General features: G+C 39.5%; 1 long non-coding RNA gene across 1 annotated transcript in view, besides 1 other annotated feature; it reads left to right on the top strand.

Moving 5' to 3' along the window:
* Nucleotides 1–18369, top strand: part of LOC102724465 (uncharacterized) — a 379687-nt gene that overhangs the window by 31712 nt on the left and 329606 nt on the right. The window lies entirely within an intron of this gene.
* Nucleotides 2242–3441: an enhancer, noted in NCBI's record as "P300/CBP strongly-dependent group 1 enhancer chr15:88211934-88213133 (GRCh37/hg19 assembly coordinates)". NCBI's record gives its function as "activates an origin of replication core promoter dependent on BRD2, BRD4, P300/CBP, MED14 and CDK7 cofactors, with strong dependence on P300/CBP, by STARR-seq in HCT116 cells {active_cell/tissue: HCT116}" and the evidence as "EXISTENCE:reporter gene assay evidence [ECO:0000049][PMID:35650434]".

Raw genomic sequence — 18369 nt, 5'->3', positions numbered from 1 at the left:
TCTATCATTGAATCTATTAAAAAGTTGGCATAAACCCGTAAGTGATTTGACAAATCAAACTAGTAATTTGTGGCAGATTCAAGATTCAAATGCATGCCCATCATCATGTGAAGGATGTGTTTTCCCTACTGAATTACATTGCTTTTAGTTGAGGGAAAAAGCTGCTTGGAGTCTAAGGCAGGGTTTGATTAATGCCATATGTGTAAGGCAGATAAGCACCATGAGAGGTCAGGGAGGGGAAATGCTCATAGAGTGGGCTGGGGTGGTCCTTGAGAACTTCCTGGAGAAGGGGTCATTTGAATAGGGACTTAGTGAAATGGAAGACTAAAGTGGAGGTTAAGGGGCATTCACAGCAGAAGAATCTCTTCATGCCATTCAGAGAGGCCAACTTGAGTCCAGGAAACACACCTACCTTATGGAAGTCAAGAGTTCTCATAAGGTGATGGTGATGAGGATGGAAGATGGTAATTCCAAAGGGCTCTGAAAGGCAGGCTCAGTTTGAAATGTCTCCTAAGGAAAGTGAGGAGCCATCAAAGGGTTGTAAACTAGAGTGCAGCACAATCTTCTCAACACGACCAAGATATGTTTGAGAAGATAAATGCAGCAGCTGTGTTCAGGATAGAGAAAAGAGAATCTGGAACTGTCAGATAGCTGGGCGTGGCCGCCGTCTGGGCCATAAATTTGTGTGGCAGGATAAGGGTAGTGACAGGGGGAATCAAGGCAGGCACGGGGGAGTGTGGCCTAGAAGAGAGATCAGGTGGCAGCAATTACCAAGTACTTGTTGTGTGCCAGGCCCTCTTCCAGTCACTCAGTGGATTTGCACTACCACCTGTGAGGTGGGCATGCTGATGCTGTGTGTGGCTTTGGAGCAGACAGACCTGGAATTGCATCCCTGCTTCAATTACAAGGACTTCCTGCAGGAGTGACTGGGCCAGTTGGCACCCCAAATGTCAGTTTTGTCCTCTTTTAAATGGGGTAATATGATCTATCCTGCAAAGTTGTTTTGAGGGTAAAAGATAATGTGTGAAAAACACCTAATAGCGAGAGCTTGTCTTGGAGAAAGCACGTGCAAAATGGACACTCCTGTCGGCATCTTTACTTCTAAAAGACTGCTTGAAAGAATTTTTGGCCTGGATGTGTGTGGGTGGCATGAAACTTAAAGGGTCAAAGATGGCTGTAGAATTCCAAGTGTCAGAGCCTGAGAAAATGCTGTTTCCAGTGACAGAAAGAGGGAAATTGGTTTTGAAGGAAATATGATAGACTTGGTTTGATTTTGAGGTGATGGCTGGGTATTCAAGCAGAAAAGCTTGACAGCCCATTGGAAGCATAAAGCCAGACCTCTGCAAGACACCAAAATTCTAGAGGAAAATTGAGCAATTTATCAAGTGTCTAAATATCTTGCCCACACAATGACAAATATCCAGATTTTTGGAATGCTTTTGACCTGGATTTAAATGTCAACTTTTTATCTCAATACTTGGTTGTGTTTTAGTGCTGACAAAGACCTCTTGTTTTCTTCCAGATTATGAACCCATTAATTTTGCCAAGATCCACATGGCCCAAATCGCCATCTATTTCTTTGCTCTTTGGCAGGAGACTAGAAAAGGGTTAAACAAGTTTATTTCTCTTTTAGCTCTCGGCTCTGATTCTTTATTATTCACACCTCAGCAAATCTTGTTTCATTACATTTTTGGAATTGCAATGTAATTTTGGTGATTAACTTTAAATTGGGGATAATACCCTGACAGGCATTAACGTAATGTCAAAACATTTTCTTATAATTATTTCTTAACCTTCGTCAAATCACTCTTCCCCTGTGGACCTTTAGTAATATAATATGGACAACACACCAGAACTCAAAGATGTAGAAAGGAAAAGTGATGACCAGGAACACTTATCAGAAATGATCAAGGCTAGTAAAAGACGGTGAAGCAGAGCCCTGTATTCTCACATTTCCCTGTCTCGGAGCGGAAGTGAAGAGATGAGTGCTGGAAGTGGCTCCTGGGATGTTTGGGTTAGAATGTGGCTGGTAGGAGTTTTGTTCCCATTGTCACATCTGTTACCATTACCCAAATGGAGCATGCATTCTGGTGAAAAACGAAAACAGCTTGGAAGGCCAAAAATAGTAGCTCAGCTCCACATGGAGAGACTTAGGAACCAGACAGCGCCTGCTAGAAGCAGAAGTGGAAATAATACCGTATAAAGTGAGAGAGCCTGAAGAGTTTTCAAAACATTTTCACTCATATTATCTACTTTGAGAATCCCAGCCACTTTGTGAAAGTAGACAAAGTCAATGTGGATCAGCCTCATTTTATGAAAAAGTAGACATTTTCAGCGACTTGCTTCAAACAATACAGTGAATGTGAAGCAGCAGCGTGTAGTAGCTTTGCTTTGGAGTCTGGGAGAAATGAGTTCAAATACAGCCTGGTTCCACCATTTACTAGCTCTGTGGACTGGGAAAGTAGCTTAATTTCCCAGAGCTTCGGTTTCTTCATTCATAACTTGAAGATAATAGTAGGACCTTTCTCATAGAGTGAAATTTACATAGAAAATTCTCAATAATTGGTAGTTATAATAACTGCCCAAGGGGTTTATCTTGCCCAATGCCTAGACAGAGGCGATTCATCAAGACAGGGGAATTGCAGTACAGAAAGAGTAATTCACGCAGAGCCGGCTGTGCAGGAGACTGGAGTTTTGTTATCATTCAAATCAGTCTCCCCGAGCATTCGGGGAACAGAGTTTTTATGGATAACTTGGTGGGTGGGGGGACAGCAGTGAGCCAGGAGTGCTGATTGGTCAGAGATGAAATCATAGGGAGTTGCAGCTGTCTTATGCTGAGTCAGTTCCTGTGTGGGGGCCACAAGATCAGGTGAGTCAGTTTACCCATCTGGGTGGTGCCAGCTGATCCATCAAGTGCAGGGCCTGCAAAATATCTCAAGCATTGATCTTAGGAGCAGTTTAGGGAGGGTCAAAATCTTGTAGCCTCCAGCTGCATGACTCCTAAACCATAATTTCTAATCTTGTGGCTAATGTTAGTCCTACAAAGGCAATCTAGTCCCCAGGCAAGAAGGGCGTCTGCTTTGGGAAAGGGCTGTTACAGTCTTTGTTTAAACTATAAACTAAGTTTCTCTGAAAAGTTGGTTCACCCCATGCTCAGGAATGAACAAGGACAGCTTGGAGGTTAAAAGCAAGATGGAGTCAGTTAAGTTAGATCTTTTTCACTGTCTCAGTCATAATTTAGTGAAGAAAGTTTCAATTCTTCCCTTTGAGTTTTATAACACCTTAATCTTAAGGTGTAGGCTATGAAGATGGGAAAAGGCCGTTGATTACTCTGGCTTCTTCTGCTGACGGGACATAGTGGGAATGGGAGTGAACCCCAAGGTGAGAAGAATGGGACCGCTTTGCAACTGTCTGAGTGTGCTCACGCCAACATGGCTTGGCTTTCAAGGCTTGCGTGGTAAACACGTTAGTACTTTCAGCTATAGTTTTAGTACAGTATTTACGTGAACAGCATACTGTAAGGTAAATAAGTCCTAGAATGAGGAGTACAATTCTTAATTTTAAAAGCAAAGATTTGAAAGCATTAGTTTGAGGACTTCAAATCCAGAAAGAATTTAATCTAAACCACAGAAAAAAAAAAAACCTTACGAACAGCTAACAAGAGTGTACTATGGTTTTTTTTTTTTTGGTTAGCATATTTTTTTCTCTCCAGTTCCTATTTAAAAAAAATGATAGAACTGATTTGATTACAAAATAAACTTTAGTCTTATTGTACTTGCCTGATTGTTTGTATAAAGTAAGCAGGAATAATTATTTTTCATATTTAATTGGCTTTGTTGGAACTCTGTTCCGCAGGGAATCTCAGACAAGACTTTTTAAAAGCTGAGCCCAGCCATGGGTCTGTACCCTTAAATTACCTATGAGTTGGGTAAATTTCTCTCCTCTTGAGGTCCCAAGATAACTTGGGGCTCCTGGACCTGTTAGAAAGTGACATGCTTTACTTACCACAGGTCAGGAACCTTGTACAGGGACTCTGTGTGGACAAGGTATGAGGCCAGATTTCCTAAGAGGCTTTAATTGGCTCTATAAGTCAACTTCGATTCTTTAAATAAAGCATGCCATTCTAGTCAAAGCCTTGGTAAAATAACCAATTTTTCTAATTGTGTCGTGTTACAAAAGAAAACAGATTCTTATTGCACTTATGCAATTAACTATACCACTATAAATTGAGAATACTAACAAATAGTTTCCAAATTCTGGAGAAATTAGGTAGAGAGAAACAAATATGCTCCAAAAATCTTTTTCACAGCAACATAGTTTACTCATTAAAAGTTGCAAATAGCTCTAAAGAAATAAGTTATCTTGACTCTGAAAACAAAAGGATTAGCAATGTTTAACACATCGGCTCTCCATGAGAGTCCTGGAAGTTTCGTTTCTTCTCTATTCCAATAGCACAACTTTTAAAGTTATCTGAGACTTGGACTTAGACTCCTATATCTGATTATAAACTGCCTTTTGAAAAGGATCAAAGCAAGACAAAACGTCTGTGGATGACAGATGTCTATTGTCACTATTAAAGCTACAATTGACAGGAATTTTGGTTACCTCTGTGGCATACAACAATTTTACATAACAATTATAATTAACAATAATGTATACTAAATCATATTAGAATTATAGAAGTGTCCCATAATTTTTTGAACACATTAATAACATATTTATACAAATACTCCAATGAAAACCAAACACCATTTACTTTTATATTTGAAAGTTTTTCCTCTATTCTAATGTCACAATCTCTAGAGTTACTAATCAGAATTTTGCCCTTGAGAATACCTGTTAAATTTTACAACTGATTATGAAACTTTTTTTTTTTTGACATGGAGTTTTGCTCTATCACCCAGACTGGAGTGCAGTGGCGCAATCTCAGCTCACTGAAACCTTTGTCTCCCGGGTGCAAGTGATTGTCCTGACTCAGCCTCCTGAGTAGCTGGGATTATAGGCACACACCACCACGCCCAGCTAATTTTTGTATTTTTAGTAGAGACGGGGTTTCACCATGTTGGTCAGGCTGGTCTCAAACTCCTGACCTCGTGATCCGCTCGCCTTGGGCTCCCAAAGTGAGACAACAGTTGCCTGTGGATAACAAAAATATTTTAGGGCAGCCACAGTTAAAGACATGATTGACAAGGAAATTTGTTACCTCTGTGGCACACAGCCATTTAACATAATTATAATTATTACTGATGATATATGCTAAGTCATATTAGAATTATAGGAGTTTTATGTAATTTTGGAACATATACCTATAATACATTTATATAAATACAGTCCAAAGAAAGCCAAATACCATTTCATATTTGACAATGTTTCCTCTATGATTTTTATACAAAATAAGCCAAATGTCATTTTTGGACTTAAAAGGACCTAATACTTAAAAGATTAGGCTAGAAAGAGACATAATTTATAATTTGATTTTGGAAAGTTTGTCAAATATCAAAGGTTTAAAACACTGGATGTCACAAAATAGAATCCCAGGTCACCAGCAGTCATTCATTTGGCCAAAATAACTTTAAAAATTTAAAAAAGAAAACCTTTACTCTGATAGAGGAAACTTAGCTTTCCAAACAAGACCCAATAAAGATAGCATGAAGCTAACTCAATTTGTCTTTTCTTTTTCCTCTCTTTATCCCCTGCCACGTACCCAAAGGAGAAAGCAAGACCCTGTCATTATCTTTTAAAATTACATAAAAATCTTCAAGAGAGAACCAAATTTCATGTTTGCATTAGTGTATCTTTAATGTTAAAACTAGTTTTTTAAATAAAATTTTATATCTCTATCCACCTTTAATTAGTTGGACCATAAGTTAAGATTTTCATAAACTTTTTAGAACCTTTTATAATTTTCCATTAAACAGCAGATCAATTTTCTAAGAAAACCCTGTTTTTCGAAAACCTGGGCCCAGATTTTGGCCCCACATCAGTATGACTTTAATGTTTTAACCTATGGAAAAAACATAAATAATTTCTTTTCCAGTCTTAGCCAACTTGTTTATACCCACAGATTTTTTTGTTATAAGATCAACCCTTTATAAACCCTTTTTACTTTGCTTAAACCTTTAGTTTTGTTCCATTACTCTTCTAGGTTAGGACAATCTTTAAAACCTTCTGAACTAGACAAAATTACATTCCCTTTAACAAAAGCCATAATCCCATGACTTCTTATAATCTTTTACCAAAAACACATTACCTATGCACCTTGTATGTAAAACTGTTTCTCCAGTAATCTTAATTTCCTGTTATAATGTTAACTCTTAGCAATTTTTATTTTTAGTGAAAAACCTGGTAAATAAGCAGTTTTAATTATGTACTGGGGTGGAGCCTCGAACATTAGACAGAAATGAAGAAAAGGTCTCTTTTCAGCATAGCTAGGGGCATGGCTCTTCACATGTTCTCAGGCCTCTTCCATAATCTAATGCTCTAAAGTAGGTAAATTGAACAATTTTCAAAAGTCAAGGAAACAGTTTGACCTTAAAGTATTTAACAAATCTGATATCTGACCTTACACCAAATTGTTTACATTTTCACAACATTTTACCAATAATTTTTAAAACTGTCTTTATTTTTGAAAGATTATTAGTCACATGAACAAAAAGGCATTAAACTTTTGATTTTTCTGACAAAATATTTAAGTGCTTATTTTTCTAAGTGAATTAATCAGAGCTCTTTTATATATAAACATACAACACATGTAAATACACAGACAGAAGATTCAGCACTTGTAAGATTTTTCATTTGGCAGATTTCTTAATTGGATTACTGGCTTCAGGGTGGAGCCCTTGGAAGAACAGGGCCAGAAAAGCGTGTGTTTCTAGGGCCTAATCACACTTGAAGGCAAAGACAGATCCCCAAAATTAAGGGTGTCATTTTATACTGGATCCTGGATCCCCAAAAGGAGGGAAATACTTCAGGAGAAGACAGTGCCATGCTTTTACCGAATGTGCATTTCATTGCAAGGCAACCCAAAGCCAATCAGCCCATATTGTAATTAGACCGTCCCCCAGGGGAGTCTTATTTTTCAGTGAGGGGTGGGGATGTTTCCATATCTTCCAGATGGCCACAAGAGCATGCCTGTCTAATCCAAGTGTGCAGAGTCAAGTATTCCTCCATAACTACTATTAGGCATCCCCTAAAGTATATTTCCTACCTAGTTATTACCAAAGCTCTCTTATAATGAGAAGTAATTTCTGATACCCCTAAAACTCAAAACCATCAGATAACGCAAAACAGAACAGAGCCTTATATTTTGAGAGGGATCAAAACTTGGCCGGTAAGAATTCCTTACCTTTTTGCTGGCATAGCAGGTGTCTGGGTTCCCTTCTCTGCAGCTTCCAGAAGAACAAAGTGGCTTCTTGATGACCCTGCTCACTTGTGCTATAGCTGTGGGGTTCCAGCCACTGTAAAAGAGAAAATTACCCTTTACTGTTTTATGGAATAATAGAAAAGATTCTCAATTTGCGAGATGCTGCCCAACGGGTTGCATGGGGAACCGAATTAACACTTTCCATTTCAGCAAAATACACATAACAAAACAGACATTAGTTAATTCGTTCAGCACCCAATATTAACCTGGCAAAGCTCAAACTTTTTCTTCTTGGTCCCTGTTGTCTTTTGATCCACTCCAGATGGAAGGGACAACCTCCAAATGGTAATTCGGAGGTCTCAGGGCAAAGGGAAGACCAGATAGTCACCCCAAGAGACAGGCCTGTTGAGCCTTCTTTAGGGCTCATCGAATGTGACCAGACAAATGAGGAGGGTTCTCTGAGTTAGGCCTGCTGGACTTCCATCAGCAACCCCTTCTGAGATCCCTTCCACGTATACAAACACACACAAAGATGAGATGGACAGAAGGCCTTCCAAATCAGATCCCTAACCAAGAACTCCAGGAGTATCTCTTACATACTATCCTCTTGCTTTCCGACTGAGAAACTTCCTTGAAATCTTCCTGATTGAGGAGAAGTTTCACACACTAACACTCTTCCTACTAGTTAGAAGGAGCCAACCAAGACCCCCGCAGGAGGTGAACAGACACCCTGCAATGGGGCTACAGATGCAGACACCCCATGGTGGAGCTACAAACAGACACTCCGCAATAGGGCTGCAGACACCACACCATAGGGCTACAGAACCAGTCTGGAGAAGGAAGGAGGCATTGGCAGCATCTAGGATGCTCACCAATCCAGACACCCTGCAGTGGGGCTACAGACGGTCATCCTATGATAGGACTATAGTTAAGGGACGTCTCCCCATAACTATTTCTCCATTGCAATTAAATCCACGCACATTGGGTCAGCAGCACCCTGCCAGTTGAGAGGGTACCAGAGCCAGCCCGAGCCGGATGGATCCACCTGGCTTCTGGATCTGTCATTGGAGGAGGGCCACTAGCCATGGGCAGGTAGCCACAAGGACAATCCCACACGAGCCCCCAGATTTGTAACTATCCACGGTGTTTACCTTGCCTGCTGCCTAGAAAGAGCCGATTCATCAAGACAGGAGTATTGCAATAGAGAAAAGGTAATCACACAGAGCCAGCTGTGCAGGAGACCGGAGTTTTATTATTACTCAAATCAGTCTCCCTGAGCATTCAGGGAACAGTGTTTTTTTTTTTTTTTTGTTTTTTGTTTTTTTTTTGTAGATGGAGTCTCGCTCTGTTGCTCAGGCTGGAGTGCCCTGGCGCCATCTCAGTTCACTGTAACCTCTGCCTCCTGGGTTCAAGCGATTCTCCTGACTCAGCCTCCTGAGCAGCTGGGATTACAGGCACGTGCCACCACACCCGGCTAATTTTTGTATTTTTAGTAGAGATGGGGTTTCACCATGTTGGTCAGGCTGGTCTCGAACTCCTGACCTCATGATCCCCCTACCTTGGCCTCCCAAAGTGCTGGGATTACAGGCGTGAGCCACTGCGCTGGCCCAGCTGGGACCTGAGGTTTTTTTTTTTTTTTTTTTTTTTTTATGAGCCGGAGTTTTGCTCTTGTTGCCCAAGATGCAATCTTGGCTCTGCAACCTCTGCCTCCTGGGTTCAAGCGATTCTCCCGTCTCAGTCTCTCAAGTAGCTGGGATTACAGGCATGCACCACCATGCCTGGCTAATTTTTTTATGTTTTTTAGTAGAGATGGGGTTCTCCATGTTGGTCAGGCTGATCTCGAACTCTCCACCTCAGGTGAGCCGCCCACCTCGGCTCCCAAAGTGCTGGAATTACAGGTGTGAGCCATCGTGCCCCTCCTGGGAACAGAGTTTTTAAGGATAACTTGGTGGGTGGGGGGAAGCTAGTGAGCCAGGAGTGCTGATTGGTCAGGGATGAAGTCATAGGGAGTGGCAGCATTCGTCTTGTGCTAAGTCAGTTCCGGGTGGGGGCAACAAGATCAGATGAGCCAGTTTATTGATCTGGGTGGTGCCAGCTGATCCATCTAGTGCAGGGTCTGCAAAATATCTCAAGCATTGATCTTAACAGCAGTTTAAGGAGGGTCAGACTCTTGTAGCCTCCAACTGCATGACTCCTAAACCATAATTTCTAATCTTGTGGCTGTTAGTCCTACAAAGGCAATCTAGTCCCCAGGCAAGAAGGAGATCGCTTTGGGAAACAGCCTTACCATCTTTCTTTAAACTATAAACTGTGAACTCAGTTTCTCCCAAAGTTAGTTCAGCCTAAGCCCAGGAATAAACAAGGACAGCTTGGAGGTTAAAAGCAAGATGGAGTTGATTAAGTTAGATCTCTTTCACTGTCTTCGGTCATAATTTTACAAAGGCTGTTTCACTGTTAGTATTACTAGGAGAATAGTATTAAGTTAGTACAAAAGTAATTATGGCTTTTGCCATTAAAAGTAATGGCCAAAATATAATAGAATAGACTTGGAGCCAGAACTTGAACCTAGTGAGTTGTGTTTTTCCATTGTATCTGCGCCATGGGTGGTCAGACAGCAAGGAGGAAAAAGCAAGTAGGAAAGATTTAGTCACTCACAGCTGCAGTCTGAATTGAAGTCCCTAATTCTTCAGACTTAGAACCACCAAGTTGAGCCCTCTGCACAGCAGTAATTCTATGCATGACCTTCATCCTCCTTGCTAAGCCCCCCTGAGTTTAAATAAAACATTTTATCCCCAAGGGTTGCTTTCATCCAAGGGGAAATTGTTTAAGCTAAAATGTTAGTGCTAGAAAACTCTGTTTTCCAGGAAGAGAGTCTCTCAGAATATAGAAGAGGGGATTTTAAAAATGGACAGTAAAATGTAGGCTGCATTGTGCAGGTCCCATGGCAATTGACATTGAGGTGGTTTCAGCCAATGGGAGGTCCTGGAAGTTGTGTGTGGGAGGAAAGAAGAGGCAGAGAAAACAAAAATAACTCAGAGTGGTCTGAGCTTTGCGAGGTATGAAGGCCCAGAGAGCCCTGAGTATGGGACTTCGGTCATGCCTACCTCCACACCCATGCCTAGGGCAATTGTTTAGAGGAATTTCTGACTAACTGCCTCACCCATTATCTTCATGTCCTGGAATTCATAATCAAAAGAACAATGTATAACCAATCAATCATCAAAAATTCACTTGTAACTGCTGCTAATCAAAGCAATAGACAAAACAGAGGACCTTTGATATCAATAGCTTATGCTATTTTCATGTAAATTCTTGGTAAACAATTTAGGAACTACCTCTTCTTTTCCTTCAGAAATTCACTTGTAACTGCTGCTTATGGAAGTATATATTCAGAGCAATTGAATCTACGATCCTGGGTTGTAGTCCTCAAGCCTGGACCAAATAAACTCTCTATTTACATTAATGTTACCTTAGTTTCTCCCTTTTAGGTCAACACATCTGTCTTAGCAGAACTCAGTGACGCCACCAACCACTTGCTCTCTCTCTTTGAAAAGTGCACTTGGTACAAGCACAAACTCCCTGTCTTCAGAAGGCTCATTGGGTGTTTTGGGTGAGTTCTGAATTTGGACCTCACACTCTTTGGTTGAAGGCCTAGACTTTATTTGGGCTAGTTTTCTAGTTTTCAAATCTTCTTTCTTTCTTTTTTTTTTTTTTTTTAAGAGTGAGGGCTTTGGTCTCTGTATTTGGATGGGAGATTTGGGTGAAGAGCTCTGCAAAGAACTTCCTTTTTTCTACCTCTCTCACCATAGAGGTTCAGGCCAAGGTTTTTCTGCCTCTGCCTCAGCCTCAGAGGTTAGGGGTAAGGTTTTTCTGCCTCTGTCTCACAGCAGAGGTTTGAGTTAAAGGATTGGCAGTTAGGCACTGGTGGTTTCATTTTACATAGCATGGTTTTAAGATTGTAACTGTTTTCTATTGCTTGAAAATTCAGACTTAGCCTTTCATTTTGACCCATTCATGTTAGTTTCTAACTGGAAAGTGTACCCCCTTTGGCTGTTTCAGATGAGTATATGAGGGTCTAGTCCCCTATCTCTTGAACAGTCTGCTGCCACCTAGCAGTTAGAGACAGTTTGAGACACATTGCACTTCAACCCTAAACACATTCCCAGCCGCGATCACTTTGGAAAAGTTTCTAAATTATGGGAAATCAAGCTTTAAAATCTGACCACTCTTTTTAGAAACACCAGCTGTATTTATGTATAACACTTATAGCATATCCTGTTGTAAATATTTAGAAAAGTGGACCCACCTAACCTAGGACAGTCATAAGCAGCATAAGTCAAAATAGTGAGCCTCTGAAATGTCTAAAGTAATTCATCTGCATGCAGAATTGGGGAAAAAAAGCTGGCTTTAGAGCCAGAAAAACTGAATGAGAGACCTAACTTGTGTTTGTCCTGGCTGAAATCTGATAAGAATTTCAATTTTTTTTTTCTCTGACTTCTATAGTCAGAAGTCAGCCCAATTAAAAGCTGATATTTAGACTATAATTCTTTTAGAAAGCCTTTCTGCTTTTTTCTCTTTTGGATACTGTTTCTGGGATTGTCTTTTTCAGTCAACTGCAACCTCATTTGCTACTTATCTTGTTGGCATGATTTTGCTGAGAAAAATGTTCCATTGGACTTTTAGAAAGGTTAAAATCTCTCCAAATTTGCTCCTCTAAGACTTGTTCTTTCCACTTCTCACTGCAACCTCTTTCTCCTGGGTTCAAGCAATTCTCATGCTTCAGGCTCCTGAGTAGCTGGGATTACAGGTGTGTACTACCACGCCCGGCTAATTTTTGTATTTTTAGTAGAGATGCTGTTTCACCATGTTGGCCAGGCTGGTCTTGAACTCCTAGCCTCAAGTGGTCCGCCTACCTCAGCTCCCAAAGTGCTGGGATTATGGGTGTGAGCCACTGTACCCACCCCCACAGGTGTGTCTTCTGATCAGCAAAATACCTATGTATTTATAACTTTAGGGTTTCACAGCCTGTGTAAATGATTAACAAATAACTAGATGGTAAATTTTGTTCAATAAACTATTAAAGCATAATTGTTAAGAATAAATAAATGAATGTAAATGGAATAAAAGTATAAACTTTTATCATTTCAAAAGTCTTTTTCAGAAACTTAACCTTAAAGTCATGTATATTAAATAATAATCACAAAATATCTGAGCCATTTATGCAGTCTAGAAAAGCTAAATATATTTAGATCTATTAATAAAAGTTGAGAAAATACCTTTCTTAAAATTATAAAATTGTTTCATCTACAAATACTGGTATAAAACAGTTCAAAATCACCTCCTGAGTGTTGTACAGAAAGGGTTACTAAAAGTTAAAATGATAATAGATAGATAGATATAATTAAAACACTAGGTATAAGGAAAACTATATACAGAGCATGTAAAGAAAGTAAGATGTAAAAAAAGTAAAAAAGTAATTTTTTTCTTTTATATGATTGATAAGTTTGGTCAAAATGATAAGAGGAAAAGGAAAGTAATTTTTTTTCTTTAGTTAGAATGCCAGTGTAAAAAATGAAATACAGGCCTGACGCGGTAGCTCATGCCTGAAATCCCAGCACTTTGGGAGGCCGAGGTGGGCAGATCACAAGGTCAGGAGATCGAGACCATCCTGGCTAACATGGTGAAACCCCATCTCTACTAAAAATACAAAAAAATTAGCCGGGTGTGGTGGCACGCACCTGTAATCCCAGCTACTTGAGAGGCTGAGGCAGGAGAATCATTTGAACCCAGGAGGTGGAGGTTGCAGTGAGCTGAGATGGTGCCACTGCACTCCAGCCTGGGCAACAGAGTGAGACTCTATCTCAACAACAACAAAAAAAGAAAGTACAGGAAAAAAATGGGAAGTTTGAGCAAGTTGTAAAAGATTTATCTCATAAAAGGAATTTTGTCTGTGATCAAATTGGTTAACATTATAAGGGATTTACTTAGTTTTTCTAAAATTTGAGCATTATTATCAAGAGCAAATTAATGCAATGTCCCTGTGTTAGGATAACAGGATTTTTTTTGAGCATTGATCTACTCTATAATGGAAAATTGTAAGAGGTTATAAAAGGTTTCTGGAAACCCTATCTTGTGTTGTTAAAGCTGATTGAGATTGGATGAATTTGTTTTTAAGGTTTCATTAAAATTAGCTTTAGCTTTAATAATATACTGATGAAATGGTAGAATTTGGTTTGAATAAAATTTTCACATCATATTAATAAAAGATAATAAAAGATTTGTTCATCTTTTGAGTAAACTTAAAAAAAAAGGAAAAACAAATTCTGTTGGTCTTATGGTGTCTTTATAAGGCCTTTTGATTGTTTGGAAAGCTGAGCCTCCTATCAAAAAGGAAAGGTTTTACTTGTTGAAATCTTGAAGTATCATTTTGGCTAAATGAATGAGTATTATTTTACAGTGGCCTGTAGTCTTATTTTCATCAAGTGTTTTAAACATTTAATATTTAACATACTTCCCAAAATCAAGTTTCAAATTTTAAAACTAAGTCTTTTCCAAGTGGAACCCCTGTAAGTCCCAGAGAGACATATTAGGCTTATTTTGTATGCTAAAAATCATACAGGAAGCTTTGTCAAATAAGAAATGGAGCTTAACTTTTTTTTAAGTTACATTTATATGGATATGTTATTAATATGTGTTCCATAATTATATGAGATTCCTAAAATTCTGATATGTCTTGATATGTCTTGTCAGACATAATTATGGTTATGACATTAACTTTTTTTATGCCACAGAAATAGCCAGATTTCCTTGTCAACTTTGTCTTTAACTATGGCTACTCTAAGTCCTTTGTAATCCACAGAAAATTATTGTTTTACTTTAATTCTTCTCCAGATCAGTTCACAGTTGGCCACAGTCCAAATTTTGCTTTTTCTTCAAGAAAATTAATGGGAAAAGACCCTAAAAAGTACTCTTGAATACAGGTTTCTTATAACTTTAGAGATTATATAATTATCATAAGACTAGATAAAAATTTTCAGAACTCTAATAAACTGATGCATTCATAAAGATTGCTAACCCAGCCTCATGCAGAACAAAAATTAGATTACATAGGACTAAACTGCTAGAAGAGTGAAGTGACATTTATGACTTTTTTTGAAACATTGTTGATTATTTTTACATTTTCTCAGTCAAGAAAACTACTGAGCTATTTATAGTTTGTGGCAATTGGGAAAAATACACCTATGTGAGCAAAATTAAAACATTTGCCTTTCGCTCTACCTGGTTTCCCTTAGATTTGGAGACTATTCATGAGTATTCTTATTTTATGGCAATCTAGTTATTTGCATAAATTCAATAAGAATCTGTTTTCTTTAACGGGACACAATTGGAGACACTGGTTGTTTAACCAAGGAATTGACTAGAATGGCATATTTTCAGATATGACCAGACTGCTTTGAAAAATTGAGGTTAACTTTATAGAGCCAATAGAGAAAGCCCCTTAAAAAGACTTGCCTGGTACCTTGTCTACACAATTTTCTTTCAAGGTTTCTGACCTTGAAGTAAGTAAAGAATATCACTTTTTGACAGGCCTGGGTAGCTCAAGGTATTTTGGAGACTTGAGTAACATTCACCCTATTTGTACAGGTATTACAGGCATAGCATAGTCTAGTAGTGAACCTTTGCCTTGGCTTCCTAGCCTCAAGATTTTTTAAAGTTTCAGCACAGCCAACTTAAAAGAGCCTATATGGCCAATAACTATTCTTGTACTTTATGCAAATGATAAGGCTAAGTATGATACTAAAACTTATTTTGCAAGTATATTTATCCTATAAAAGTTTATCTTTGGTAAAAATGGGGACTGGAAGGAGAAAAAATTACGTTTCAGAAGAAAATTATGGTACATCTGTTATCAGACCGCAGCCCAGATCTTTGTTTTTCAGATTTTATTGTTTTCATACAATTTGGAATGAATCTCTGTTGGAATAGGTTTTTACTATGCATCTCTCATTGTTTTACTTCTGAGAAAACCAAAAGCATGAAATTCTGAAGACTGGAGATGATTCAACAAGCAATGACAGTTATATAAATCAGAGACTTGACTGAGGACTGTCGTAGCACTGAGGTATGAAGGCCTAAGCAGAGATTGGTTATCAGTGCTTCCATGGGAAGATTTTTGATTAACAGTGGGGGAAATGAGAAAAGAAAAATAGTTCAGTGCAGTTTGAGTTATGTAAACTATGCAGGTCTAGAGAGGTGTGAGCATGGGACTTCAGTTGCACCACACCTCCACACACACATGCCCATGCCTGGGGGTGATTGTTTAAAGTCATATTGTTCCTGACCAGCTGTCTCACCCATTATCTTCATGTTCCTGGAATCTGTGTTGCAGTGTATAGCCAATCAATAGCTTATGTTATTTTAATGTAAATTCTTGGTAAACCACTTAGGAATTGCTGCTTTTCCTTTTAAAAATCCACTTATAAATGCTGCTAATTGGCATGTATATTCAGGGCAGCTTGAATCTATGCTTTTGGGTTGCAATCCTTAAGCTTAGACCAAATAAACTCTTTACTTATATTAACTTTGCTTCAGTTTCTTCCTTGTAGATTGACAAAGCCAAGTTATTTCTCATTCTCTCTGCTTCTAATGACATTTCTGGCAGTTCCTCCAGCTCCCAGTGATCAGGCCCCCTGTGCCTCCAGCTTCTACCTGTTGACCCAGCTCCTGGACTCTGTACAGCCTCCATCATCTCCTCTGCCTTCATGGTAATGGGAATGGTTTCCTGCTGTTCTCAATCTCTGGGCTGCAAAGTGTGAGTTGAGTGTAAACTCTACTACTTAGTAGCTCTGATGCCCTCAGCAAGTTACTTAAATTATTTGAGCCATCCTTAGGTTTCTCATGTGTAAAATGGGAATCATACTGTTCAAACTGTAGTATTATGAAAATTATGTATGTTAATATTTACAAAGTGCCACCAACACAAAATTAGAGATACAATAAATGGTCATTGCTCTTATTGCCACCACACTCACCCCCATGACTTGCTGAATATTCGGAATGAACTCAGACCTTATGTATCCCCCTCTTCCCAGTAGCTTAGCTACATAGAATCAGTATTTCTAAGAGCAGAGTATTCCAAACTATGTTCCATGGACCACTAGCCTTGCTGATGTTGTAGTGGGGCTTCTTCAAATATAGGGGTAATAAAATGTACAGCTTTTTTATGCATTCTTAACTCTACAGGTTTTTGTTAAGCAGGATACTAGCATTCCCTGGGATACAGTTTGCAAGACACTAGAACAGTGGCCTAAGTTCTGCACTTTGGAATCGGATAGATTTGAGTTGTAATCTCTTTCCCACCACTGGTAGCTGCATGTCCTGGGGCAAGTATTTTACTGTCTTTGAGCCTCATTTTCCAGTCTGAAAAATGGCATAATTATGCTGTCTACTTTGTTGTTGTTGTGAGGTTTTAAAAAAACATTTCAGTTGAAGTACTTAATGTAGTTTCTGACCCCTATTCAATAAATTTAGTTGTTATTATCAATACAAAGAATGAAAGCCCGTTAAGAGTTTCTTAAGGCCTCAATAAATAAGTGGAAATAAACATCATGGACACTGCATTGGAGCTAGAGGCAAGAGAGAAAGTTGTAGTGATGGTGGGGTTTGGGAAAGGGAGACATGGCTTCACCAGTGATGGAGCAGCAGATTGGTCCCTGCTCATGGGCAGCCTGGGCTCTTGACTCTTTCCTTGCCCACCAGCCTGACTGCCTTTGGGCCAGCTCTCACTTTGTGCCTACACTCCATGCCCAGTCCCTCTGTGGCAGGACTGAAAGCCACTCTCCAACATGCCTTCCCTTGCCCATGCTCTACAGGGACAGGGGGTGAGCTAGGCTGAGAGCTCTGTCACCCTTTCAGGAGCTGTGTGCTCAGAGCTTCCTCGGCAGACCCAGTTTTTCACCAAATGGGCCCCTAGTTCTGGACTGGGTCAAGAAGGGGCCCAGAAAGGGGGCCAAGGAAGGAGTTCCTGTAATGCTTCTAAGTCAAAGCAGCTCAAGGCTGAATCTGAAGTTTTTTTTTTTATTTTTTTCTGGTAATAAGGTGGAAAATATTCTTTGGTCCTTGCTTAAGTCCTAAGAAAAAAGTGTTGGGATTAATTGTCACTAGCAAACTTCCAGGAGTATTCCTTTTGAAAGCCAAGAGACTCTTGGTCTGCAAACTGCATTTTCATCATGGGTAGTAATTGATCACTTTATCAGTGATTCCTGCAATCTCTAAAGCTTAATTCTGAGTTAGGAGTGTGGGATACATTTGCTGGATTTAATATAATGCTGGGCCTCCCTTTGCAAGAGGCCTATCTACCAGTCTCACCTGTGGAGAACCATTGTATTCTAATCTTGACTGCCTTCCCAAAAGGCTCCACATCACTGTGACACTGTAAATTCTGCTCCAGTATACAATTTAACCTTGTGTATTATTCAAGTTCAGGACAGTGGCTGGGCATCAAGAGCCATGGGGATTGTCTGCAGGCCCTTTGATTTTTGAACCATGAGTGGATTTGAAAACTTTCAGTTTATATAATAAAATATTAGCCTTTGGTCAAAATTGAGCTGGCCATTCTGCATGACTGACAGTTTCGTTCCTTCTGAAGAGAAGTTCTGCTTATTTTTCATTGAGGTGAATTTACCCCAACCATAACATGCCTTTATTTTTCCCTCTATGAGTACAGGCCAGTGAGAGACCACAAGCACCAAGAGTAGAGATAAGAAGGCAAAACGTAGACTCTATCAAGGGATCTCCAGGCACAAGGAGAGGGCAGGCCTAGGAATGGTTTAGCTGCATCCTGATGATATTGCTCTTTCTTGCTAATTTGTGGAGTCCAAGATTTTGGCTTCTGCTGGTGAAAGAAGGTGTTTGATTGGAAGGCAGTAGTATGGGGCTTGGCAGCAGGGGTCAGATAAGGGAGACTGAGTGGGAGGAAAACAGAGTCAATGCAAGCCTTGGGTTGG

This window comes from Homo sapiens, chromosome 15 (genome assembly GCF_000001405.40).
Source record: "Homo sapiens chromosome 15, GRCh38.p14 Primary Assembly".
Lineage (NCBI taxonomy): Eukaryota > Metazoa > Chordata > Mammalia > Primates > Hominidae > Homo > Homo sapiens.
The sequence above is the reverse complement of the archived record's forward strand: the minus strand, read 5'-3'. Positions and strand labels throughout refer to the sequence as shown.